The 27,645-nt window shown below is 48.8% G+C and overlaps 1 protein-coding gene and 3 pseudogenes across 1 annotated transcript; 1 reads left to right on the top strand and 3 right to left on the bottom strand.

Annotated features, from left to right (window-relative positions):
- The window catches only part of LOC124901865 (translation initiation factor IF-2-like), a 451,468-nt pseudogene that overhangs the window by 12,355 nt on the left and 411,468 nt on the right, over positions 1 to 27,645 (bottom strand).
- VPS51P16 (VPS51 pseudogene 16) lies at positions 3,570 to 3,918 on the bottom strand (annotated as a pseudogene).
- Positions 11,890 to 12,858, bottom strand: OR7E96P (olfactory receptor family 7 subfamily E member 96 pseudogene; annotated as a pseudogene).
- Positions 22,191 to 25,201, top strand: FAM90A12 (family with sequence similarity 90 member A12). Its single transcript, NM_001423531.1, has 4 exons — positions 22,191 to 22,313; positions 22,808 to 23,007; positions 23,466 to 23,574; positions 24,239 to 25,201. Exons 1-4 carry the CDS (start codon positions 22,191 to 22,193, stop codon positions 25,199 to 25,201), a joined length of 1,395 nt encoding a protein of 464 aa, NP_001410460.1.

Here is a 27,645-nt window from a genome sequence, read left to right as displayed (position 1 = left end):
TTGTTGGTTTTTGAGATTTCCCTCCCTGTGCCTTCATGCCAGCTGTGAAAGAGTCAAAAGGCTCCTAACTGTCAAAATAAAAATGACACTTGGTCACAGAGGAAGCAGATTATAGGTCAATCACATTGATGACTTTTTAACTATGAGAAGCCATTAATGTTACTGAATAAGCAAATCTGTTTGCATAAGCAGATTTTTATAGGCTACTGGGAATAAAGGTTTTCCTAAGTGGGTGATTTGTACAACGATAGCCTTTGGGTCTCTGATGGAACAGCTCTGATGAGGAAATGTTCCTTTAATTATGTGGAAGGCCAATTACCACGTTATAGCCACATTGTTTTGCAGATTGCATATAATTTCACCATTTCCATAGTTTCAGCACGATAATTCTGGAGAAAATTCAGGCACCAAGGAGACACTTGAGGCACACTATGCTGGAGACAAAGATGTTTTAGCGAATTCAATTTAAGCTTCAACATTAAAGTTATTTTGTTGAATAAAACATAATGCAATAATGAGCTTGTGTATGTCAACTCTATAGTGCAGGTAATAATAGCTAGAGAGAGCATGTCCCGTCTCCTCTTTTTAATGCTCATTTGAGTAATACATAATGCTATAGAGAGAACTTTTCTCTAATATGTGCTTCACCTCAGGCTAAGCGTGTTTTGGGCAACTGTGCTTCATGAAAAAAAGGTAAAGGATCTAATTTGGGAGCCACTCACAAAAGTGCTACCACTTGATGTTTTTTTATACTCTGAGATTTCTTATTCCCAGTGCCTACCAGGAATGGACTTTCTGGAGAAGCTCAGATTAATCACTCCTTATGAGAGGTAACAGCGTGTTGGCAACCCTCACAGCCCTCGTTCACTCTCGGCACCTCCTCTGCCTGGGCTCCCACTTTGGCAGCACTTGAGGAGCCCTTCAGCCCACGGCTGCATGGTGGGAGCCCCTTTCTGGGCTGGCCGAGGTCAGAGCTGGCTCCCTCAGCTTGCAGGGAGGCATGGAGGGAGAGGCATGAGCTGGAACTGGGGCTACGTGTGCTGCTTGCCTGCCGGCTGGAGTTCTGGATGGGCGTGGGCTTGGTGGCCCTGTACTAGGAGCTGCCGGCTGTCCTTGCCGGCCGGGGCTGTGAGGGGCTTAGCACCTGGGCCAGCAGCTGCTGTGCTCGACTTCTCACCGGGCCTTAGCTGCCTCCCTGCGGGGCAGGGCTCGGGACCTGCAGCCTGCCATTCCTTAGCCTCCCCCCTCTGTGGGCTCCTGTACGGCCCAAGCCTCCCCGATGAGCACCGCCCCCTGCTCCATGGCGCCCAGTCCCATCGACCACCCAAGGGCTGAGGAGTGTGGGTGCATGGAGAGGGACTGGCAGGCAGCTCCACCTGCAGCTCCTGTGCTGGGTCCACTGGGTGAAGCCAGCTGGGCTCCTGAGTCTGGTGGGGACTTGTAGAACTTTATGTCTAGGTAAGGGATTGGAAATACACCAATTGGCACTCTGTATCTAGCTCAAGGTTTGTAAACACACTAATCAGCACCCTGTATCTAGCTCAGGGTTTATGAATGCACCAATTGACACTCTGTATCTAGCTACTAGGGTGGGGACTTGGAGAACCTTTGTGTGGACACTCTGTATCTAGCTAATCTAGTGGGGACGTGGGGAGCATTTGTGTCTAGCTCAGGGATTGTAAACGCACCAATCAGTGCCCTGTCAAAACAGACCACTCAGGCTCTCTGTAAAATGGACCAATCAGCAGGATGTGGGTGGGGCCAGGTAAGAGAATAAAAGCAGGCTGCCCGAGCCAACAGTGGCAACCCACTGGGGTCCCCTTCCACACTGTGGAAGCTTTGTTCTTTTGCTCTTTGCAATAAATCTTGTTGCTGCTCACTCTTTGGGTCCACACTGACTTTATGAGCTGTAACACTCACCGAGAAGGTCTGCAGCTTCTCTCCTGAAGCCAGCAAGACCATGAACCCACTGGGAGAAATGAACAACTCCAGATCTGCAGCCGTAAGAGCTGTAACACTCACCGTGAAGATCTGCAGCTTCACTCCTGAGCCAGCGAGACCACGAGCCCCACCAGAAGGAAGAAACTTCAAACACATCCGAACATCAGAAGGAACAAACTCCAGACACGCCACCTTTAAGAACTGTAACACTCACCAGGAGGGTCCACAGCTTCGTTCTTGAAGTCAGTGAGACCAAGAACCCACCAATTCTGGACACACTTATACACTTGACACTGGGAGGTCTGTATGGAGCAAGTGAAGAAATCAGCAGAGTGAAGATAGAAGGAGAACAACATGATGGGGGAAAGGCAAAGTTAGTGCCACATTGGTTTCAATTCTGCCACTCATGAGTGAGACCCATGACCTCCTCTCTCTAGGACTCTGTTTTTCTTATATGTAGAGTGGAGGAATAGAAGGGCCTTTTAAAGTATTAACATTTCCTGACCTATCTGTAAAACACTTTCATTCAAACTGATGGGAATCTTGACTACTTTGCCAAGAGGACATAATAATCATCAAGCTGAATGCACCAAACAGCATTGCCTGAAACTATCTAAGCAAAAACTGAGAAAGTTACACAGGACAGACAAACCTCCTATGAGAGTAAGAACTCTTCAGCACATGCTTAGTGTGTCAAAGACAATACTGTGTTCACACCATTCCTCTTCCTGGACATGCAGAAAGACTACATTTCCCAGCCTCATTTGCAGTTAGTTTGGAACCATGTGACTGCATTTCCACCAATAGGAATGTAAGAAATCACTTCTGGGCCAAGGTTATCAAAGTGTGAGCTATGTTCCCTCTCTTCCTATCCATATGGCTACAAGTGAAAAACTCTGAGATGGCAGAATTAAAAGATGGAAACCTCCAGAATCTCTGAATCACTGTTGGACAAGGGCCCCCAAGGAGAACCCCTGCCCTGCACCAGACTATGCTATGGGTGTCAACCCACTGAGAGTTCAGGGTTTATTCGTCTCAGCAGCAGTCTATTGTTACACTGACTAACATCCTGAGGTTTGAGAGGTCTAGCATATTGTTAACTGAAGTTAGATTTCAATTACACTGAGAACCTTATCTATTTAAAAATAAAAACTCTCCTAAAAAAAACAAATAATCCACATTCCTTTTAACCACATGTGGCAAATTTGCAAAAAAAAAAAAAACAAAAAAAAACTGGCCACATATTAGGCCATAAAGAAGTCTCAACAAAATCCACTATACGATTGACAGTGTCCAGACCACATTTTCCTGACCATAATGCCACAAAATTAGAAGTCAATAGCAAGAAGATAGCTAAACACAAGCATATATTTGGAAAATTAAAAATATCCTTTCATGAGTTAAATGAAAAATCACAATAGAAATTACTAAACATTTACAACTGAATGAAAACACAACTTTATATATATATGTATATATATATAATATGTATATATATATATATATTTTTTTTTTTTGTGAGTCTTCCAAATTTGTTCTTCTTTTACAAGGTTATTTGGGAAATTCTGGGTCTCCTGCAATTCCTCTTACAGTTTTATGCTGTGTGTCAATTTCTGTGGCTGGGTCTATGAGAACTTATCGTAGTTCTCATAGACCAGGGTTTGCATGTTGCTGTCTAGAGCCCGGATCTGCTGCACCATGTCCGTCTCACTATCCATCAGCTGGGCCAGAGGGCACTCTCTAGGAAGCTTGTCTAGGTAAACTTCCGGGTCGAAGTGTACCCCGTTCATATCAGTGGGGTCCAGGGGGTCGGTCCCCGCAGGGAGTCCCACCGCCTCCACTTCCGAGAGGCCGTTGTAAAACTTCAGCATCCTGTCCGCCTTCCACCGACGCTCCTTGAGCCTCCCCCTCGGGCCCTTCTGGGGAGTCCCCAGGTCCACACCCCGGGCTAGGCCCAGTGACAGCTGCCGCCGCCATAGCTCCAACTGCAGCCCACGGGCGTAACTTTTATATTTTTAAGTTGGATACATGGAGCTACTTGGCTTTTGCTTTCATCACCTCTTTGAGGAAAGAGCTGGTTGCTTATGGTACCCCTGTTTTTACTGCAACGTGTAATGGATGAGAACCTCCCTGTTGCAGAGAGCAAAACACTGAACTAAATTGTGCTGTAACACAGCTCTGTATTGGGGGAGTGGGAGTGATCATGCAAACGCTTGCAAATTTGCACAGTGACAGAGACAATCGTTTGGGCACCTGTTCACTATATGAAAAGGCAATTGACCAAAAGTCAGTTACTGAGCTATCTCAATACTTTCATTTTATTTTAACTTTTGGCAGCAGCGTGCAATTAAAGGAGAGAAAGAAAACAAAGTGATAAGTGTAAGATAATGTACACACATGTGTAAAAGAAAATGACAAGACAGGATGACCATTTGTCTCTTGGTTAGCTCCTTGGGCTCTATGTCTCCTTCCTCGGAGAACCTCGTTTTCCTTTGTCCAGATTTGTTAGGGTGGGTAATCCAGGCGCCTGCTCCCCCATGATGGAAGCCAAAGACATCCCTGGAGCAGCGTCCCGCTGCATCCTTTCCTGCACTGCCCACATGGACACAACTCAGCCGATTAGTCTTCCTCTCAGAACTTTAGTCTTGAGCAAAGGGATTAAAGGGTGAAGTGACTAAAGGTATGCCCTTCCAAAGTGGTACGTGAGCTAACGGCTGAAGTTTGCCATTTTTTCGTAATTTTTATTTATTTATTTTTTTGAGACGGAGTCTTGCTCTGTTGCCCAGGCAGGAGTGCAGTGGCGTGATCTCGATTCACTGCAACCTCTGTCTCCCGGCTTCAAAGGAGTCTCCTGTCTCAGCCTCCCCAGTAGCTGGGATGACAGGCGTATGCCACCATGCCTGGCTAATTTTTTTGAGTTTTTTTGGTATTTTTAGTAGAAACAGGGTTTCACCATGTTGGCCAGGCTGGTCTCGAAATCCTGACCTTGTGATTCGCCTGTCTCAGCCTCCCAAAGGGCTGGGATTACACACGTGAGCCAACGCGCACAGCTTCAAAGAGTTTTAAGCAGAGCTCAGAGGTCTTAACCACAGGCACATCGGAGGAGCATTTTTGAAACACTTTCCAGCTTCCTCAATAGGAATGGAAGCCAAACTCCGAATTGATGACTCCTTTGAGGAAGTTGAGAGCTGTAAGGAAAGCCAGGAACAGGGGCAAGGGAGAGATGCGTCCCGAATGATCCTGTGCAAATTCTTTCTGGAATCCTTGATGTGATCTCAGCTGCCCTTTCTATACATGACACAGTGATTGTGGCACCCACTGGTCTAGCTGTGGTCAACAAGGAACCCACAAAGGGAAGGGCACAGTGAGTAGGGGCATCCGCCTGAGTGACGAGGATTTGAGAGGGCAGGTTGGTTGCAGGGAGAGGACTTGCCAAATGCCATGTGTCTGGACTTAGACTGCCTGGTTCAAATTGGACTTCGCCCTTTTTGACTTCGTGATCTGGTACAAGCTGCATGAAAATCCGTTGCGCTTTTTCTAGTCTGTAAAATCATCATGAAATGTGCACTAATAACGTGGAGACTATGTAGATGAAATGAAACAAGCTGCATAGAGCACAGAGCTCAGAGCCTGGCCTTTAGGAAGCCCTCAGTAAGGGTTCATGATGCCATGGTGTCTGTCGTCATCCTCTTTATCCTCATCATCACCTTCATAATCTCTTTGTTGTTCTTAGGGAATAGTTAGAGGGACTGATTCCCTGCTATCATGGGTGAGATGTTTATGAAAAGGACAACCAGTGGGGGAGGAAAGCAAAATTTTGAATAAGATTTCTGAGACCCCCAGCACAACCAAGAACATAAACTGCACAGTCTGCTGAGCAGAGAGTTGCACATTGGTCTCCTCACATCTGCCCACCGCACTCTCCTGTTTGTCCTGAGGATGAGGAAACAAACAAGTCTCCCGACCATCCCTCAGCACTCACTTGAAGGGGTGGCCTCCTCCTCCACAGCTGTGGGTATTTCCAGTCGGGTAGGAGGAGAGACTGAGAAAAGAAATAAGATACAGAGACAAAGTATGGAGAAACAACAGTGGGCCTAGGGGACCGCCGCTCAGCATACCAAGGACCTGCACCGGCACAGGACTCTGAGTTCCCTCAGTTTTTATTGACTATTATTTTTATTATTTTAGCAAAAAGGAATGTAGTAGGAGCGCAGGGTGATAATAAGGAGAAGGTCAGCAACGAACATGTGAGAAATAGAATCTATTTCATAAGGAATTTCAAGGAAAGGTACTATGACTGGATGTGTACGTAAGCCAGATTTATGTTTCTCTCCACCCAAACATCTCAGTGGAGTAAAGAATAACAAGGCAGCATTGCTGCAAACATGTCTCGCCTCTCACCATAGGGCGGTTTTTCTCCCATCTCAGAATTGAACAAATGTACAATCGGGTTTTATACCGAGACATTCAGTTCCCAGGGGCAGGCAGGAAACAGCGGCCTTCCTCTCTCTCAACTGCAAGAGGCTTTCCTCTTTGACTAATCCACCTCAGCACAGACCCTTTACGGGGGGCGGGCTGGGGGATGGTCAGGTCTTTCTCATCCCACCAGGCCATATTTCAGACTATCACATGGGGAGAAACCTTGGACAATACCCTGCTTTCAAGGGCAGGGCTCCCTGCGGCTTTCCACAGTGTATTGTGCCCCTGGTTTATTGATACTAGAGAATGGCGATGACTTTTACAAAGTATACTGCTTGGAAACATCTTGTTAACAAGGCAAGTCCTGCATAACCCTAGATCCCTTAAACCTTGATTTCATACAACACATGTTTTTGTGAGCTTCAGGTTGGGTCAAAGTGGCTGGGGCAAAGCTACAGATTAACAACATCTCAGCAAAGCAATTGTTGAAAGTACAGGTCTTTCTCAAAATGGAGTCTCTTATGTCTTTCCTTTCTACATAGACACAGTAAGAGTCTGATCTCTCTTTCTTTTCCCTACACTCACTGAACTGCCTCTCCCCTCTGCTGGGACATGACCACGGAGAACAGGTCCACTGTCCTCCCTGCGTGGTGCACCATGGAGGCTCAGGCTCCGTCCTCAAGGCTGGCAAGAAGACAGGGTGAGACATGAGCCTCCTGATACAGGTGACGGCTGTGGAGACCACAGGACTGCAACCTCACACTGCAGGGCGGGAGGCACAGACTGAGTATTTACTATCCTGTGGCCTGGGAGGCTCAGGCACAGAGCTCCTCATTAGCCAAAGCCGCCCAAGTTCCCCAACCTCTAAGGATGTCCTCATAATAATGCAAGAAGAAGAGAAAAGTGAGTGTCCATAGAAACTATGGGGCTCCTCCTCTAATCAGAAGAAAGCTGGTGTGTATTCTTCGCTTCTTTCTTTTCTTTTTAAACATCCAACTGCTTTAATTTTCATCTTTTATAATGGGAAAATATACCACGTATAAATATTAAAAATTATAAATATATATTAGTTCATATAGAATGGCCAGTAAAAACATTTACAATTTCCACTCTTTTTCAGTTTACAGATTAATGACATTAAGTACGTTCACATTATTTAGCAAGCATCACCGCCATCATCTCAGGAACAGTTTTATCTTTCAAAATGGAAATTCCACCCATTCACCAAGCTCTCCATTCCTTTCTCTCGCCCACCCCTGGGGGCCACCTTTCTAGTTTGCAACTCTATGAGTTTAACTACTCTAGACACTTGATAGATAAGTGGAATCATACCGTGTTTATTTTTTTTGTTTTGGAGACAGAGTCTTTCTCTCTCACCCAGTCTGGAGTACAGTGGTGTGATCTCGGCTCACTGCAACCTCCACATCGTGGGTTCAAGCGATTCTTGTGTCTCAGTCTCCCGAGAGGCTGGGATTACAGGCGTGCGCCACCACGCCCTGCTAATTTTTGTATTTTTAATAGAGACGAGCTTTCACCATATTGGCCAGGCTGGTCTCGAACTCCTGACCTGAAGTGATCCGCCTGGCTCAGCCTCCCAAAGTGCTGGTGTTACAGGTGCGAGCCACTGAGCCTGGGCCTGTTTATCCTTTTGGGATTTATTTATTTCACTGACGATAATGTCTTCAAGGTTCATCCATGTTGCGGCCTGCCTCAGAAGTGCCTGTCTGTTTTTTTTTTGTTGTTTTTTGTTTGTTCGTTTGACTTTGTTTTGTTTTGTGTTTCCATAGAGTCTCACTCTGTCGCACAGGCTGGAGTACAGTGGCACAATCTGGGCTCACCTCCGCTTCCCGGGTTCCAGTGATTCTTGTGCCACATCCTCCCGAGTAGCTGGGACTATAGGCACACGCCTCCATGCTCATCTCATTTTTTGCATTTTCAGTAGGGACAGGGTTTCCCCAAGATGGCCAGGCTGGTCTTGAATTCCTGACCTCAGGTGATCCGCCCACCTCGGTCTTCCAAGACGCTGCGATTACAGGCGTGAGCCACCGCACCGGCCAGAAGTGCCTGCCTTTTGAAGGCTGAATAGTCTTCCATTGTATGAAGGAACTGCAGTGGGCTTTTTCATTCATCTGTCCACGAACCCTTGGGTTGCTTCCACATTTTGGCTCTTGTGAATAATGCTGCTATGAATATGGGTGTACACAAATCTGTCTTCCACTCCTGGCTTCTTTTTGTAGGTACCCACAAATGCAACTGCGGCAACATATGATCATCCTGTTTCTAATTTTTCCAGTAGACGCCATACTATTTTCCCCGTTCCTTCACGGTTTTACATTCCTTCTGATCAGATTCGAGCATTCCTACTTCCCTCTAGTCTCACCAATCCTGTTTGTTTATCATATCCATCCTAATGTGTGGTGTCACATTCTTGGTTTGATTTGCGCTTCCCTATGATGAGTGATTTTGAACATCATTTTAGATGCTTATTGGCCATTGCTATATCTTCTTTAGGAACACGTCTACTTGAGTCTTCTGACCATTATTGATGGGATGCTTTGGGTTTCTTGTTCTTTAGTTCTGCCTGTTCTTTATGTATGATGGATATCAGCCTCTTTTCAGATATATGCTTTGAAAATATTTTTCCTAATCCATGGGTTATCTTTTCACTCAGTTTGCCGTGATTTTGCTGCACAAAAGTGTCTGTCATTTCGATGTAATCCAAGGAATCTAATTTTCTTTTGTTGCCTATGCTTTTGGTGTCATATCCCAGAGAACATTGCCCAATATGATGTCATGAAAGCATGGCCAATGTTTTCCTTTAGGCGAATGATTCTTTTAGCGCTTGGGGTGAGGTCTTTGATCCAGTTTGTGTTAATTTTTGCACCTGGTGTGACATAGTGTCCACCTTCATTCTTCTGCATGTGGAAATCAAGTTTCTCCAACACCATTTCTTGAAAAGGCTGTTTTTCCACCAATGAGCTTTCTTACCACTCATGTTAAAAATCGTTTGAACATACAGGTGACAAGTTATTTCTGGGCTCCAAAATAAACAAACAACAGCAGACAACAGATAATGTTACAGCATGGGCCGGGCCCGTCGCTCACGCCTGTAATCCCAGCACTTTGGGAGGCCGAGGTGGGCGGATCACCTGATGTCAGGAGTTGAAGACCAGCCTGACCGACAGGGAGAAACCCCCGTCTCTACTACAGGCGCGTGCCTGTAATCCCAGCTACTCGGGAGGTGGAGGCAGGAGAATCGCTTGAACCCAGGAGGCAGAGGTTGCGGTGAGCCAAGATTGCACCATGACACTCCAGCCTGGGCAACAAGAGCGAAACTCCATCTCAAAACAAAAAACAAAAAACAAAAAACCAGCATGATTTCAAGAGCAGAAAGAGAAGAGCTGAAAAACCAGCATAATGAGAAAATTAGGAAGTTTCTTACCAAAGCATCTGGAAATATTCAAGAAATTCTTGTGAACTAAAATTTTCATACTGTACAATCAAACACTAGAACTCACTTATTCCATCTTTCTGTATTTTGGGACCCAATTATCCACTTGTCTTCATTCCCCATCCCACCCCTTTTCTTCCTAGCGTCTGCTAACCACCTTTATACTTTCCACCTTCCTGAGATTCCTTTTGTGTGTAGGTGTGTGATGGAGTCTCTTTATGTTGCCCAGGTTGGAGTACACAGGCACAATCCGGGCTCACTGAAAGCTCCGCCTCCCGAGTTCAAGCGCTTCTTGGGCCTCAGCCCTCCGAGTAGCTGAGACTAGAGGCACGCGTCACCACGCCCGGCTAATTGCTTGTTTTTTCCGTAGAGACGGGGTTTCACCATGTTGGCCAAGCGGGTCGCGAACCCCTGGACTCAAGTGATCCCTGCGACTCGGCCTCCCAGAGTGCTGGGATTACAGGTCTGAGCCACCACGCCTGGTCAAGGTTTCCTTTTTTCTTCCTACGTAGAAGTGAGGACATGAAATATTTGACATTCTGTGCCTGGCTTATTTCATTTAATATACAGACCTGCAATCTCATCCATTTTGTCTGCAGCGGAGAGGATTTTCTTCCTCTTTAGGCTGAATAATACTTCATTGGGTGTGTATACCACAGTTTCTTTATTGAAACAAATTTCTAAAGAGCAAATATTTTTAAAGTCTCAGAATGTGAAACTTCAGGGATACCGTGCCCATTTTATTCTTTTCTATTTCCCATCTTATGTATCTGCAAGTGTATAACAAAGCAGCAATTGATGTGTGTATAAATCGATAACTTCAACAATTGCAAAATGTAAATGCTAAGTGGTGTCTGGGCGCGGTCCCTCATGCGTGTAATCCCAGTACTTTGGGAGGCGGAAGCGGCCGGATTACCTGAGGTCGGGAGTTCAAGACCAGCCTGACCAAAATGGAGAAACATTGTCTCTACTAACAATACAACAACAACAACAACAACAAAAAGATAGCCAGGCATGGTAGCGCATGCCTGTAATCCCAGCTACTTGGAAGGCTGAGACAGGAGAATTGCTTGAATATGGGAGGCAGAGGTTGCAGTGAGCCGAGACCGTGCCATTGAACTCCAGCCTGGGCAACAAGAGTGAAACTCTGACTCAAAAAAAAAAAAAAAAAAAAAAAAAAAAAAAGGACAAGAAGGAAATAGAAAATGCGAAATGGTAAGAAAAAACAGCATAATAAACATTCGTATGGTGTTGATGGACAATGCATTTGAAGATAATATTTGAAGAAATCATATTACAATTAATTTCTGTTCTTACTCATTGCAGCTTGATGCCTCTAAAAACTTCGTCATTGGAACCACCTCTGGTGCTTTAAAAGAAAAAAAAAAAAATCCACACACTCACACAGGTGCAAGGAAATCAGAATCTCAGGTATTGAGAACCAGTCCTCATCATGTGTAAGCTGCCCAGGTGATTTGACTCAAAGCCAAGATTGAGGAACGGCGACATGGATATCTACACAGAACCTGCCTAAATAGATTCTCTAGAAGAAGTTTATAAAGAAATTCCACATGAACTGTGGAAGAGGATATGAATTTGATGTACAGTATGTCCTCACTTAACATCTTTGAAAGTCTCTTGGAAACTTCACCTTGAAGCAAAATTATGTATAGTGAAACCACTTATTTTTCATCAACAGTATAACTACACGACTTTGAACAACCAATGCTGTTGGAGGACCTTCTGTACATTGTTTCCATAAAGTCAGTTTTCAGGGAATTCCAAAACGAAGTGAGGACTTCGTGTATATAAAATGATGGTTGTGATTCCACCTGGATGGCATGGTTATTGCTCAGAGACTAAAAGAGGCCACCTAGGTATAGAAGATTCTGTCATGAGGTTTCTGCTAAACCAAGGATCCCAGAATCGTCACTCATTCCAGATAAAGGCATAACGAAGAAAGCAATATTCACAAAGGAAATGCGGAAAGGAATAAAAGCCATCAAGCCACAAAAAGAATGTGACTGAGGGGCAGGATTTGCAGATGTAGAGATTTAATGTGGTTGCCCTTTCTCACCCACACAAGAAAAAGGATGGAACAGATCATGATATTCGACTGCTCTGCTGCGCAGCCTCCGCAGGGCACTTTGTATGTCCCTGTTTCTCAGGCTGCAGATGAAAAGGTTCAGCATGGGGTGACCACAGCGTACATCACTGAAGCCACCACACCATTCCTGGGGGGTGGTGACCCAGCTGAAGTCAGGTACAAGCCAATGCCTGTTCCATAAAACCAGCAAACAACTGCTAGATGACAGCCACAGGTGGAGAAGGCTTTATACTTCCCATCTGACGATGAAATCCTTAGAATGGAGGGGAAAATTTTATAGTAAGACAAAAAGATCCCTGAAATGGGAAGAAAACCAAACATAGTACTATCGAAATATATGAATATGTTATTGATGACGCTGTCAGAACAGGCAAGTTTGAGAAGTTGAGAGGGGTCACAGACCAAATTAGAGATTTCCACATTCTTGATGATGGTTAATTGTAACACAATCCAACTGTGCAGCTGGGAATCCAACAGGCTAAGGAAAAAGGACACCAAAACGAAGAAGACACAGAGGTGAGGATTCACGATGATTGGGTAGTGCAGAGGGCGACAGATGGCTACAAAGCAGTCATAGGCCATCACAGTCAGGAGCATGCCTTCTATACATGCAACAAGGAGCAGGAAAGACATCTGTGTCAGGCAGCCCGCATGAGAGATGACTCTGCTATGCGACTGCGTGTCCACAATCATCTTGGGAACCATGGCCGAGGTGAAACCGATGTCAGGCCAGCACAGGTTGGAGAGGAAGAAGTACATGGGGGTGTGGAGGGGGGAGTCAGAGCTGACAGCCAGGATGCTGAGCAGGTTCCTCAGCACCGTGACCAGATACATGGACAGGGACAGGGACAGCAAAGCGAGGACCGGCTGCAGTTCTGGATCCTCTGAGAGTCCCAGGAGGAGGAATTCTCAGACATCTGTGAGATATTAGTCCCAACATCCCAGAGGGTGTACACTACCCCTGTGATATTGTCCCTAACTTCCAGAGGGGAGAGGATGACATCACTCCCAATATCTCAGAAGTTGTACATCCCCCGTGATATTGTTCGTCATATCCAGGGAGGCGCAGGATGACATTCCATTGAATTTCGCGACAGGCCTACACGCACAGTGTGATACTGTTCCTACTATCCAAGAAGGGAGAGGATGATATTACTCACAATAAAGCAGTGGGTGTACATCACCCCTGTGTTGTTGTCTCTAATATCCGGGGCCGGGGGAGGAGGGGAGAGGATAACATTGCCTCCAATTTAGCAGGTGGTTTGACGCCCCTTGTGCTGTTGTTTTAAATATCCAGCGGGGAAGACAGTAGTACTATTTTTGATAGTCCGATTCATCCTCTCCACCTTTCCGGAACTCTGAGGCCGGGAGGCGGCATGTAGTTTCCGTGTGATCCCCAATACCTTTGCCGTTTTCTGTACCAAGGCAGCCAAAAACGCAGGCCCGTTGTCTGAGCCGATCCATAAGGGCGGTCGAAATCTAGGAATCACATCTCGAAGAAGCACAGGGGTTACTTCACCAGCTTTCTCAGTTCGTGTTGGATAGGCCTCCACCCACCCAGAGTAGGTACGCCCAAGAACCAGTAAATGCTTGTTACCTCCACACTTTGGCATCTCTGTGAAGTCCACCTGGAGACCTTCAAAGGGGGCTGCTCCACAAGCTCGTATGCCGGGCGGAACGGCTGGACCTTGACTCCCATCATGCTGTCAGCAGGTAACACACCGCTGCCTCACCGTTTTGGCAAGGGTTGACAAAGGCGAGATGTAGAAATACCGGCCTAACAACTTTTCCAGTGACTCCTGACCTCGATGGGTGTTTTCTTGCACAGCCAGTACAACTGCAGCTCCTAGCAGCTGTGGCACAGCTACTCTCCTATCTGGTAACTGAATCCATCCTTCCTCCATCACTTGTCCTTCCCTCTACCTGGAGAAAGTCCTTTCTTCTTTAGAAGAAGCAGGTCCAAGATCAGGTGCTTGAGGGAGCACTGATGCCCAGAAGAGGGCAGTTGCTGCTTTTCGAGCCTCTGACTCAGCGCGGGAATTCCCCAAACACAGCAAGGTGGAAGCTCGCTGGTGTCCTCTGCAATGCCTAACTGCCACCTTGTGGGGTTTCCATACTGCTTCTAATCATTGCAAGATTTCTTGTGGATATTTTCTGTCTTTCCCCCCAGAATTCAATAGGCCCTTTTCTTTCTATCACACTCCATGCACTTGAAGGGTTAAAAAGACATACCGAGAATCAGTGTAAGTGTTGACAGTCTCACCCTCACTGAGTTCTAAGGCCCAAATGAAAGCATTGAGTTCAGCTTTCTGGGCTGAAGTGGCCTGGGGCAACGACCTGGTTTCAACAACAGTGTCCAGAGTTATCACTGCATACCCTGCACCTCTCTCTCCTTGGGGGTTGAAGAAGCTGCTCCCATCCACGTGTGGTTCCCAGTCTACTGATGCCCAAGTCTGGTCCCGGAGCTCAGGTCTGCTAGAGTCAATTGAGTCCAACACTTCTACACAATCAGGCTCGACAGGGCTCCCTGATACCGGCAGCAAGGTGGCGGGGTGTAGGGTGTTACAAACTTCAATGGTTATACGGGGATTTTCACAGACCAAAGTTTGGTACTTGGTGAGCCTGGTATTCGTTAGCCAATGACGTCCTTTAGTATTCATCACCACAGCACGGGAGGCCTTTATGTTCAGGTTTCGCCCAAGAGTCAGCTTATTTGCTTCTTATACTAGCAGGGCAGTTGCTGCCAAGACCCTCCAACAGGGGGGCCATCCTTTAGAAACCCCGTCTAGTGGTTTACAGAGGTAGGCCACCAGCCTCAGCCAGGGCCCCACAGTTTGGGTTCAAAGTCCAGCTGCCATCCTTTCTCTCTCTGATGCATACAATGGAAAAGGCTTTGTCAGATCGGGTAGCCTCAGGGCTGGTGCTGCCAGAAGTTTTTCCTTTAACTCATGAAATACTTGCTGTTGTTGGGATCCTCATTCCAAAGATTCCCCGTCCCCGCCCCCCTTGTGACCTCATACAAAAACTTGGCTAATACTGCAAAGTTTGGGATCCACAGTCTACAAAACCCCACAGCTCCTAAGAATTCTCTTACCTGCCTTCTGCTCTTAGGCTCCGCTAGATGGCAAATGACCTGCTTTCTTTCTGATCCCGGGCTGCGTTCCGACCCCTGTCGGATAGTAAATCCCAAGTAACGTACCTGCTGTCGGCAGATCTGAGCTTTCTTCTTGGACACCTTCTACCCACAGTCCTCCAGGTGCGGTGTAGGGCATCTGTTCCCTTGGCACACCCGACTGCCGTGGGGTGTCCCAGCAGAAGGTCATCAACCTACTGGAGCAACACGCAGCCTAGGTCTCTGCTAGGAAACTTCTGGAGGTCTCGAGCCCATGCCTCCCCGAAGATGGTGGGGGAGTTCTTGAACCTTTGGGGAAGCCCGGTCCAAGTGTACTAAGTAGTGACACCTGACTCCGGATCTTCCCACTGAAAGGCAAACAGCTTCTGCCTCTCAGGGGCTAATCTGATAGGAAGGAAAGCGTCTTTTAGGTCCAAGCAGGTGAACCAGCTGTCCTCAGCTGGCGGCAACCCCAACAATGTGGACGGGTTAGGTACTGTTGGATGTAAAGTCAGTGTGGCTTGATGAAGCAAGCGCAAATCCTGTACCGGCCGGTAGTCCTTGGTCCGTGGCTTGGGAACAGGCAGGAGGGGAGTGTTCCATGGAGACTGACAAGGAACAATCATTCCAAACGTTCTTAGGTGCTTGAGATGGACCTGGATACCTTGAAGGGCTTCTCTGGGGACCGAGTCCTGTTTTTGCCTCACCGGCTGGGCCCCAGTCTTAACTGGCCAATCCTGGAGGGTTCTCTTCTGCCCGAACTCTTGGCCAGCGCTTAGCCAGAGCTGGTCTTTTCTCTTTGCCCGGGTCAGTTCAGAAAAGTCTCCATTCCTCCTCTCGGGGGACCATAAGCGTCATAATGACTCCCATTCCGGGTAACTTTAGCAGCAAAGAGCCGTGCTCTGTGAAAGAGGCAGTGGCTCTCAGCTTGCTGAGCAAGTCCCTTCCTGAAAAGTTCAAGAGACTGTCAGGCATGTAACAAAACTGATGAATGACTTTATGTCCTCCTACAGGACAAGTCCAAGGCAAGCAGAAAGCTTGCTTTGCTGAAACCCCCGTGGCTCCGATGACGTCAGTAGTCTTTTTCGGTAAGGGGACGACCGGGGCGGTTACTAGCGAATGTTCAGCACCGCTATCTACAAGAAAGTTAATGTCTCCACCCCTGACTGTCATTCTGAACAGATGTCAGAATGGGGATGCTTGAGCCCGGTCTCCCTCAGTCCAAGAACCCTTCTGCCAGGTTGAGCAGGGCCCCTTCCTCCTTGTCCGGGGCCTCTGGCTCTGAGTCACCTTCTTTTCTTTTGAGCTGAGGGCATTTGTTCTTCCACTGTCCTATTTCTTTACAATCAGCACACTGGTTACGCTGCAAACTCTGACAGCCAAGCTGAGTTTCTTTCCCAGGGCCCCCTTTCCCTTGCCTCTTTGCGGGGGCCCCTCTGATTGCTGCAGCTGACAAACAGGTCGGCGTGTGGCCGGGACTGACCTCCATCCTCTTTGCCGTTTTCCTTACGGCTTACTGCATACCTGTTTACAAACACCTGGCTAGCTATTTCTAGTAATTGGGATGGATTCTTCCCTGCAAGCCCAGTCTGTTTCTGCAGTTTTCTTCTCATGTCTTCTGCACTTTGATGGACTAAAGCCATGTGAATCATGCGCTGATTTTCAGGGCTATCGGGATCAAAGGGAGTATACATATGATAGGCCTCATACAGTCTCTCGTAGAATTGTGCTGGACTTTCTTCTTTTCCCTGAATGACCTCAGAGAGCTTGTTAACGTTTGTGGCCTTCTGAGCTCCCCTCATTAATCCTTCCAAGAGAGCTTCCCTGTCTCGGTTTAGCCTTTGCATCTCCTCTCTTTCATGTAGGTCCAACTGGGGGTCGGTTCCTGGCAACTGGGTCCTTCCATACTGTTGGGGGTTTTGATAATCAGCTGGTGCATGTTCCTCTAGCCACTTAGTTGCTGCTTGGAGGACTCTCTGCCTTTCTTCACTGTTAAAGAGGAAAATGAGCAACTGGTGCCAATCGGTCCAGGTGTGGTTATGGGTCTGGATAACAGTTTGGAGCAAATCAATTAGGGCTTGTGGCTTTTCGGTATAGGGCGATGTATTATTTTTCCAGTTGAGAAGGTCGACGCAGGTGAAGGGCTGGTACCCAAAAACACGTCTCTCCACTACATGAGCATTTTCATCTATCCCAGTATACCGCTGCTCTCTCAGGGGCATTTGTGTCCCCGTTTTGGGTCGTAAACGAGCTGCCGAGGAAGGGGTGGAATGGCGCAATGCGACTTACCGCAATTAATAATCTCAATTATGAACTGACACTAATAATTATCAATATTAATAACCCATAATATAATTTTTAAAATCAATACCGATACTAATGATAATTAATATTAAATAGTTATACTAACAATAACAATACATGATTAATATTAATGATTATGACGCCTGATATTAATAACTGATACGGATCTTATTCATTAGAAAATAGTAATATTAGCTCCTAATAATTAATATTAATATTAATAATCTGAGAACTTTTTATTAGCAATTACTTCTTAATATTAATATTAATATCGGCCATTCATATTCATGTTAATAAAAAACAAGGAATAATTCATACTAATAGTATGCCCTAATACCTCAGTGGGTGTACACCCACCTGTGATATTGTTCCTAATGTTCAGGGAGTGAGAGAGCATGATATTACGTAGAATATCGCAGCAGGTGCACACCCAGCCGGTGATATTGATCCGAATATAATCTCCAGGGGGTGGAGTATAACATTACTCCCAATATAGCACTGGGTGTGCATCCACCCGGTGATTTTGTTCCTAACATTCATGGAAGAAGAGAATGCTATTACTCCCAACATCGTAGGAAGTGTACACCCCCGTGTGACATGGTTCTTAATAATATTCCAAGGCGGAGGGGGTGATATGACTACACATATGGCAGAAAGTGGACACCCCCAAGGATATTGTTCCCACGATCCTGGAGGGAAGAGGATGATATTACTTTCAGTATCACAGAAGGTGGACACGCCCCCACTGATATTGTTTCTAATTGCAACGTGGGAGAGGATGATATGACACGCGATATCCCAGGGAGTAGAAACACCCCTGTGATACTGTTCTTAATATTCAGAGAGGAAGAGGATGATATGACTCCCAATACAGACGGGTGTACAACCTCTGTACGCCGGGGTGAACACCGGTGGGTGAAACAGTTCACAATCTCCAGAGCGGGAGACGATATTACTCACAATATGATAAACAGGCTGTGAGTCCACCGCGGATCCTAAAAACCAGGGGGGCAAGAGGGGTTAGCTCTTACTCTCCGCATGGCGGGGCGTGCCTCACCCCCTGCGATGGGGGTCCTAAGAGCCAGGAGGTAAGATGGGAAGGCTCTTAATACCCGCATCAAGGGGCGTGCCTCACACCACTGCGATGGGGGTCCTGAGAGCCAGCGGGGCAAGAGGGGCTGGCTCTTACCCCAAGCATAGCAGGACGTGACTCACCCCGCTGCGATGGGGGAAACTAAGAGCCAGGGGGGCAAGAGGGTTTGGCTCTTACAACCCGAAATGGGGGGAGTGCCTCACACCCTGCGATGGGGGTCCTAAGAGCCAGGGAAGCAAGAGGGGCTGCCGGAGACAGCGGCTGTCCTCCATCTAAATTGCAAGAGGCTTTCCTCTTTGACTAATCCACCTCGGCACAGACCCTTTACGGGTCTCAGGCTGGGGGCCAGTCAGGTCTTTAACATCCCACGGGGCCATATTTCAGACTGTTACATGGGGAGAAACCTTGGACAATAACCTGCTTTCAAGGGCAGAGGTCGCTGCGGCTTTCGACGGTGCATAGTGCCCCTGGTTTATTGAAACTAGAGAATGGCAATGACTTTTACCAAGTATACTGCTCGCAAACATTTGGTTAACAAAGCACGTCCTGCACAGCCCTAGATCCCTTAAACCTCGATTTTATACAACACAGGTTTTCTGAGCTCCCAGTTGGGTCAAGGGGGCTGGGGCAAAGTGGATGAGGCAAGGCAACAAATGAACAACATCTCAGCAAAGCAATTGTTTAAACTACAGGTCTTTTTCAAAATGGAGTCTCTTATGTCTTCCCCTTCTACATAGACACAGTGACAGTCTGATCTCTCTTTCTTTACCCTACATCCAAGGGCTTGAACATTTCTTGACTTGTTGGCAATCCAAATCGTTACGTCTCCGAAACAGAGTTGACTGAGGGGACCGCAGGGCTGGGCAGGACCTTTGACTTCCTATACATCCACAGGAGCAAGAAAACCTCAGCCCCACTCTACCAACACGCACCTAGTAAAATTCCGCCAACCGAATCTCACGCACGCTAACACGTGGGGAGCGTTGCTTGCACCACAAGTCCCCATTTGGCTCAACCGCCGATGCCAAGTGTGTGGTTCCAGTTGCGACGGCCCCCCGTGAAGTGGCTTCCGGATGTGCGAAGGAACCAGGCAGAGTTTCACTGGCCAAATAGACCCCAGCAAAGCTGAAGTTAACTCCCACATTTGGGATGTACTTCAGAGGTAAAACATTCATCCCGTCTTCTTTCCGGATGTCTGACACCATGGTTCTCCCCCTGATCCTAAGAGTAGCTGAGGCAGAGACTCACTGAAAGATCTAGGCGGGGATATCCCATCATGCACAGGCTCTCTCCATTCTCTGACCTGGGAACAACTCTCAGCAGGATTCCACATCTAGGAGGCCTCGGAACTCAGCGGGATTTTCTGAGACACACCAACTGGCTGCTCCCTCTCCGCCGCTGTTGAGGGTCGTTATCTTGATTATCCAGATCAACTAGAAAGTATCCGTATCCAGAATGAATAAGATCAACTCTCTGCTCCTCTGACAGCAGAAGGAGCAGGACCGTAAGGAACCAAAGAGCGTGGAAGGAAACGATGTGACAGGAAAGCTCAGAGAACGGCCACAGGGGGTCTTCAGCAGGCCTTCCAACCTGAATCATGAATAATTAATGGAGCGCAAATCAAAGGGGACTCGAGTTTCAGCAGGAGCAATCCATCCAACGGGAGATCGCCGGAGGGCCAACAAGATTGAGTGACTGGGAGCCGGGTGCAGTGTCAAAGGGGACGCGACTGGTTCCAAAGCTCGAGAAGACCATGGGGTCACTTGGGCTACATGAGAAAACGCCCCAGTGTGCTGGTTCATCATTCCGACTCCTGCCTGTCTCTTCCCGTCCAAGGAACATGGACCCTAAGTCGTGCAGGTGCGGATGACCATGGGCAGAATTAGGGGCCGTGGCACAAAAGTTCACCGACACGGGAGTTCCACAGAAGGTGCGGTGGATCTTCGCAAATCCAGAGACATGGCAATGGGACCCAGGGAATTAGAGCCTCACAGGCGTCCGGGAGACTTTTCAGGCATAATGCCTGGAGTCGCAAGACGAGCTGAAAAAGGAGCCAGGCACTGAAGGACAAAGCGTTGTTGACTTTCCTCATCTGTGTTTCCCAGTGCGGTCCAATTCACGGTTGTTTCCAAGCGCCTCCTGGGGGAGAAAACACAAGAGGGTGCGGTCAGGGTTCTCTGCTGACAGACTTAACTTGGGGAAGAAAGAGAAGCTCTGAAGATGGATCATGGCCGTGACTGCATGTCAAGGAGAGTCTCCTTGATGACACTGAGGCCTACGTCGAGATAGACAAAATGTGGTCCAATTAAAAGGTGTCTATTTTACCACATTTTTTAAAACAAAACAAAACAAAACAACAAAAAAGATGGAAAAGAAGACAGGGGTACAGGCACCAGTGTTACATGTCTGACGGGGAACATCTATTGTTCAAAGCTTGCAGCTGTACAAGTAGGTTTTAGAATGTCTGTCAGCAGTGGACATGATCTTAGAGTGGGCTGTGCAGATAGACCTTTCCAGGTCATGTAATTGGATTAAGTTAATTGCAATTAAGGTACAGGTAACTGATTAGGTTAGGGTACGTTCCATGTCAGGTGACCAGAGGCAGTATAAAAGGCAGCCTGGAAAGCAGAGGTCCCTCTCTGCCCCTTCCTCCGTCGTCCTGGATGCTGCATCGCTTCCAGCCGGGCTGCTGCAGCACCTGCCCATCTCAGCGCCAGCCTGGGAAAGAACGTAGACGTGTAATTTCAGGTTAGTTTCGCTGAACAATTGTTTGTTTCACGCAATCCCTGAGGGGTATTTGCGGGGGGTGTGGGGGAGGAAGAGACAAAGGAGGCCGAAAGAAACCGATCACACTGGGGCTTGCTGGTGGGGTAGGATGTGTTCTCGTTACTAGTAATTCTTGGAACAGAAAACGAGAAAACATACCCGTCTCCACGTGTGGGAGAAGACCAAGATGGGAATGCGAAAAGAAATGTACTGCAGCATGCTGAATTGGTGGGTAAATGGAAAAAGGACTTTGGAAAAAAGGGGGTTTTGCCCTTCAGCCGTGTAAGACGTCGATACGATACGGCACTTCTTCCCCGTTTGTTCAGATGAATTCGTGTGGTGTGCGTAAAATACCAGGAAAATAAATAAAGAGGGGCTGGAGCTAAAGCCAAAAGATAGAACAGGAAAGACCATCACCTGCTACTGCGGTAGAGAGGAAGGTAACTTCTCTGTATGAATTTGTGTTTGGAGGTTGCCTAATGAAACGGCAAGAGTGGCGATTCAAGTTGTCACAGGAAGCATCCCTTATCCGTGACTTCAAGCAGACCTGCCAAAGGGTGGCACACGCCATGCCCTGTGTCTTCGATCATTCTGTCCGTCAAGGGAGATAGAATCACCGTGTCTTCTACCGGAGTGAATCGTGAGAGACCTAAGTCCAGTCTCCAGAATCAGTTGTTTGTTTGGGGTTGAAAGCTCAACCCCCCATACCTAGGCCACGGGCCCTGTGGCAGGTGGGGTTTACTCTTGGACTAGGTAGTCATGGCAGAGGAACACACAATATCCGAGGATGCGCACAGCACATTGTGTTCTACAGATTTGACCGACTGGTGGTGAGGTCTCCTCATGACCACACAGGCAGGGAGTTAGCAGGTGGCTTCCTGTGGGTGTGTGAATATCCAACGTTTTAACCATCGACATGTGTGTGTTTGTGTGTGTTTCAGGTGGCCCAACAGTCCACCCCTGAAAAAGGCGGTCATAAAACCCCCAGGAGACGAAGATGATGGCACGTCGGGACCCCAAATCTTGGGCCAAGAGACTGGTGAGAGCCCAGACCCTCCAGAAGCAGCGGAGGGCCCCAGTTGGGCCAAGGGCTCCCCCGCCCGATGAAGAAGATCCCAGGGTAAGTCTAGCCCTGGATCTCTTGGGTATCGGGGTGGGGGTGGGGACGGGGGGAGGGGGTGTCCCACGGTCCTCAGAGACTGGGTTGGATTCCAAAGAGTTCTGTCACCACCAGCCAGGTTGCTTTTCCCATCCAAGGTGGGCGTGGCTTGGGACCTTCTCCCCGGCCCGATAGGTCCCTTGAGAGACTCTTGGGGGCAACCTCCCTTTCTACTTAGAGTCCTGTGTAGCCACGTTTGGCTGCGTTGTTGACATCGGCTTCACCATCGTGCCCCTTGGAACCTTGAGTCCTTCCTTTCAGAGTTCCTCCGTCACATGGGCTTTGCGAGGGAACATCGTATCCGAAGTCTCCCAGCACTTAACGGCCCCCATGCCGGTGTCCCCTCTTTGGAATCCTTATTCAGCTCTGAATTCACAATCCGTCCCAATGTTGACGTGGGATCGCTGCCTGTGGCTTCAGCTCACTCACTGACATCACTTCCTTTCCACCCACAGCTCAAGTGCAAAAACTGCGGGGCCTTTGGCCACACGGCCAGAAGTACCAGGTGCCCCATGAAGTGCTGGAAGGCAGCCCTGGTTCCAGCGACCTTGGGGAAAAAGGAAGGGAAGGAAAACCTGAAACCATGGAAGCCCCGGGCTGAAGCCAACCCGGGGCCTTTGAACAAGGATAAGGGAGAGAAGGAAGAGAGACCAAGGTGAGCAGTGGGAGGGGTTTTCACCACTCTTAGGGTACGGCCTCCTAAGGACATGGTGTCTCTGCACCTGCACACCGTGTGCCTTTCCGTCTCCGGGCCAGGGAAGGAACGCTGCAGAGAAATAGGCCGGAGCTCCGTGTCCTCCGGGGTTCCATACCCAGGAGCTCCTTGGGCTCTGGGAGATTCAGGGACGGGGAGAGGCGGGGGCGCTTCGTGCAGGTTCCCCACGACAGCGGGAAAAGCGATGGAATCCAAATCACAGTCCTTAGTTGGGAAGCCTAGAGGGCCACCTGGAGGATGGGAAGGTTGGCACGTGAGGGAAGGTGCAGAGGCGGAAAGGGCACCAGATGTCCATTTCTGTATCACAAAACACGGAATGGGGCTGGGCCCCAGACGGGGTTCTCCCTGTCTCCTGGGGAAAACCAGGGGGCACGGCCTGACCTTCTTCTGTTCTGCAGGCAACAAGACCCGCAGAGGAAGGCTCTCCTCCACATGTTTTCCGGGAAACCTCCAGAGAAGCCGCTGCCGAATGGAAAAGGATCCACGGAATCTTCTGATTATCTGAGGGCGAGTGTCACCCCGGGCCCCTGGTCTTTTTCTCCTCTAGGTCACCCTGGTTGATTTCCTTTCAGCTTCCCGTCTGCGGGAGGAAATCGGGGAACCCCTCTTTCTTGCCTTCTTGGGGTCAGGGACTCCACGATCCTTCCAGGTCAATTGGATTCCAGGCGAAGGCATCTGAACATGCCGTATTTCCTGTTGCTTTCTTTCTGTCCAATTATGGCAAGCCTGCCAACAACACGTTCCTAGCGGCATGAGGAAATTAGTCCCTCAGAGGCCCCAAACGTGGAGAAGGCGAAACCCAGAAACATGCATGTGTTCAGAGAAGACGTCCCGAGTACCCTTGAGCCAGCAACCTGCCTTGGGAAGGGCATTAGTCCGTTCCACTTCATGGAAGGCTGAGTGGAGGCGCTTTGATCCAGTTAATGCCCAAGACGCGATCTTTTGAACAATGGTGTGCTTAGATGAGCTACACATAGCTCGAGAGCGCATCTTTCATGTGTCTTGTCCTGATCAGCACTCAGGTGGAGGGTCTGTCCCTACTTCCAAGGACCGCCTGTCGATACTGTACTAAGAATTTCATGGCGTGTGCACCTTGTCTTTGGATGTGCTTGATTTTCACGTTGGCTCCATGCTGAGGAACTTCTAACCTGTGTTGTTTCCTCTCTTTCAGGTTGCAAGCGGGCCAATGCCGGTCCACACAAGCAGTAAGAGGCCGCGCTTGGACCCTATCCTCGCTGATCGCTCAGCTACCGCAATGTCTGGCAGGGGCTCCGTCTTGGCTTCACTGTCTCCCCTCAGAAAAGCCAGCCTGAGCTCCTCCTCAAGTCTTGGACCAAAGGAAAGACAGACAGGGGCTGCGGCCGACATGCCTCAGCCTGCAGTCAGGCACGAGGGCCGCGAGCCTCTCCTCGTGGTGAAGCCGACACACAGCCGCCCCGAGGGTGGCTGCCGAGAAGTTCCCCAGGCTGCCTCCAAAACCCACGGACTGCCCCAGGCCGCCAGACCCCAGGCACAAGACAAACGTCCTGCGGTGACCTCACTGCCCTGCCCGCCAGCCGCCACACACAGCTTGGGCCTAGGCTCCAATCTCAGCTTCGGGCCAGGAGCCAAGAGACCTGCCCAGGCTCCGATTCAGGCTTGCCTGAACTTCCCCAAGAAACCGAGACTGGGTCCCTTCCAGATCCCCGAAAGCGCCATCCAGGGAGGTGAGCTGGGGGCCCCGGAGAATCTCCAACCTCCGCCAGCCGCAACCGAACTTGGACCAAGTACGTCGCCCCAGATGGGCAGGAGGACACCGGCCCAGGTGCCCAGCGTCGACCGGCAGCCTCCGCACAGCAGACCTTGCCTGCCTACTGCCCAGGCCTGCACCATGTCCCATCACTCAGCGGCCAGCCATGATGGGGCCCAGCCTCTCAGAGTGCTCTTCCGGAGACTGGAAAACGGACGCTGGAGCTCCAGCCTCCTGGCGGCCCCCTCATTTCACTCTCCTGAGAAGCCGGGAGCCTTCCTCGCTCAGAGCCCTCATGTGTCAGAGAAGTCTGAGGCTCCCTGTGTTCGTGTCCCACCGAGCGTCCTCTATGAGGACCTTCAGGTTTCCTCCTCCTCAGAGGACAGCGATTCTGACCTGGAGTGAGACTGCAGGTGGCAGGGGCTCCTTGGCCTCCAGCTCCCGTGACTTGGAGGGGACTGTGGGACTGAGGAGCGCAGAGCAGAGAGCACACTCTGTGCGGTGACTCCGAAGCTCCCCGGCTGTGGCGCTTCTGTGGATGTGGGAGCCCAGGCCAGGCAGGGAGCAGATGCAGGGACTCTGCCTCATTGAATTCTGGTGAGGGACGTTGTAGTTGGCGTGGTTCTCCGGAAACGCGCCAGGAAAAGCTTCCGTGCCAGAGATTCGTTGCCTCAGAAACTGCGTGACGCGCAGGAGTCAGACTTCCGCTGGGACGTCAATAGGAAACTGGGGAATTACTGTGTATTTGCTGTCTAGATGACTGAATAAGGGAAAAGTTAGGGAACCCTGAGAGGTGCAGCCCTTCCGCTGTGCCCCGCCCTGAGAGCAGTGTTTCGGACGCTGGGAAGCGTGCTGTGCGAAGCGCTCTCGGGGTCTTTCCTCAGCCTCGAAAACTGGGCTCTGGAATGCCTTTGTACATATGTGTGTTTAATGTGTTTTGAAGTGAATAAAATTCTCAAAAAGATGACATATTGTCTTTTGACTCTCATTCCGTGTTTGTGTGTAACTGATTTTCCAAGTGAAGGGGTGGCCTGCCCCTCCACACCTGTGGGTGATTCTAGTCGGGTGGGATGAGAGACGGAGAAAAGAAATAAGACACAGAGACAAAGTATAGGGAGACAACAGTGGGTCCAGGGGACCGGCACTCAGCACACCTAGGACCTGCACCGGCACCGGCCTCTGAGTTCCCTCAGTTTTTATTGATTATGATTTTCATTATTTCAGCACAAAGGAATGCAGTAGGGGAGCAGGGTGATAATAAGGGTAAGGTCAACAACAACAACAACAAAACAAACACGTGAGCAAAAGAATCCATATCATTATTAAGTTCAAGGGAAGGTACTATGCCTGGACGTGCACGTAGGCCAGATTTATGTTTCTCTCCACACAAATATCTCAGCGGAGTAAAGAATAACAAGGCAGCATTACTGCCAACATGTCTCGCCTCCCGCCACAGGGCAGCTTTTCTCCGAGCTCAGAGTTGAACAAATGAACGATCGGGCTTTACACCGAGACATTGAGTTCCCAGGGGCAAGCAGGAGACAGTGGCCTTCCTCCATCTGAACTGCAAGAGGCTTTCCTCTTTGACTAATCCACCTCAGCACAGACCCATTGCGGGTGTCACGCTGGGGGACAGTCAGGTCTTTCCCATCCCACGAGGCCATATTTCAGACTGACACATGGGGAGAAACCTTGGACAATACCCTGCTTTCAAGGGCAGAGGTCCCTGTGGCTTTCCACGGTGCATTGCACCCGTGGTTTATTGAGACTGGAGAATGGCAATGACTTCTACCAAGTATACTGCTCGTAAACATTTGGTTAACAAGGCGCGTCCTGCACAGCCCTAGATCCCTTAAACCTCGATTTTATACAACACAGGTTTTTGTGAGCTCCAAGTTGGGTCAAAGGAAGGGGCTGCGGCAAAGCTACAAATGATCAACATCTCAGTAAAGCAATTGTTTAAAGTACAGGTCTTTTTCAAAATGGAGTCTCTTATGTCTTCCCCTTCTACATAGACACAGTGACAGTCTGATCTCTCTTTCTTTACCCTACATCCAAGGGCTTGAACATTTCTTGATTTGTTGGCAATCCAAATCGTTACGTCTCCGAAACAGAGTTGACTGAGGGGACCGCAGGGCTGGGCAGGACCTTTGACTTCCTATACATCCACAGGAGCAAGAAAACCTCAGCCCCACTCTACCAACACGCACCTAGTAAAATTCCGCCAACCGAATCTCACGCACGCTAACACGTGGGGAGCGTTGCTTGCACCACGAGTCCCCATTTGGCTCAACCGCCGATGCCAAGTGTGTGGTTCCAGTTGCGACGGCCCCCCGTGAAGTGGCTTCCGGATGTGCGAAGGAACCAGGCAGAGTTTCACTGGCCAAATAGACCCCAGCAAAGCTGAAGTTAACTCCCACATTTGGGATGTACTTCAGAGGTAAAACATTCATCCCGTCTTCTTTCCGGATGTCTGACACCATGGTTCTCCCCCTGATCCTAACAGTAGCTGAGGCAGAGACTCACTAAAAGATCTAGGCGGGGATATCCCATCATGCACAGGCTCTCTCCATTCTCTGACCTGGGACCAACTCTCAGTAGGATTCCACATCTAGGAGGCCTCGGAACTCAGCGGGATTTTCTGAGACACACCAACTGGCTGCTCCCTCTCCGCCGCTGTTGAGGGTCGTTATCTTGATTATCCAGATCAACTAGAAAGTATCCGTATCCAGAATGAATAAGATCAACTCTCTGCTCCTCTGACAGCAGAAGGAGCAGGACCATAAGGAACCAAAGAGCGTGGAAGGAAACGATGTGACAGGAAAGCTCAGAGAACGGCCACAGGGGGT

The sequence above is a fragment of the Homo sapiens genome, chromosome 8 (genome assembly GCF_000001405.40).
Source record: "Homo sapiens chromosome 8, GRCh38.p14 Primary Assembly".
NCBI classification, from domain to species: domain Eukaryota; kingdom Metazoa; phylum Chordata; class Mammalia; order Primates; family Hominidae; genus Homo; species Homo sapiens.
The sequence above is the reverse complement of the archived record's forward strand: the minus strand, read 5'-3'. Positions and strand labels throughout refer to the sequence as shown.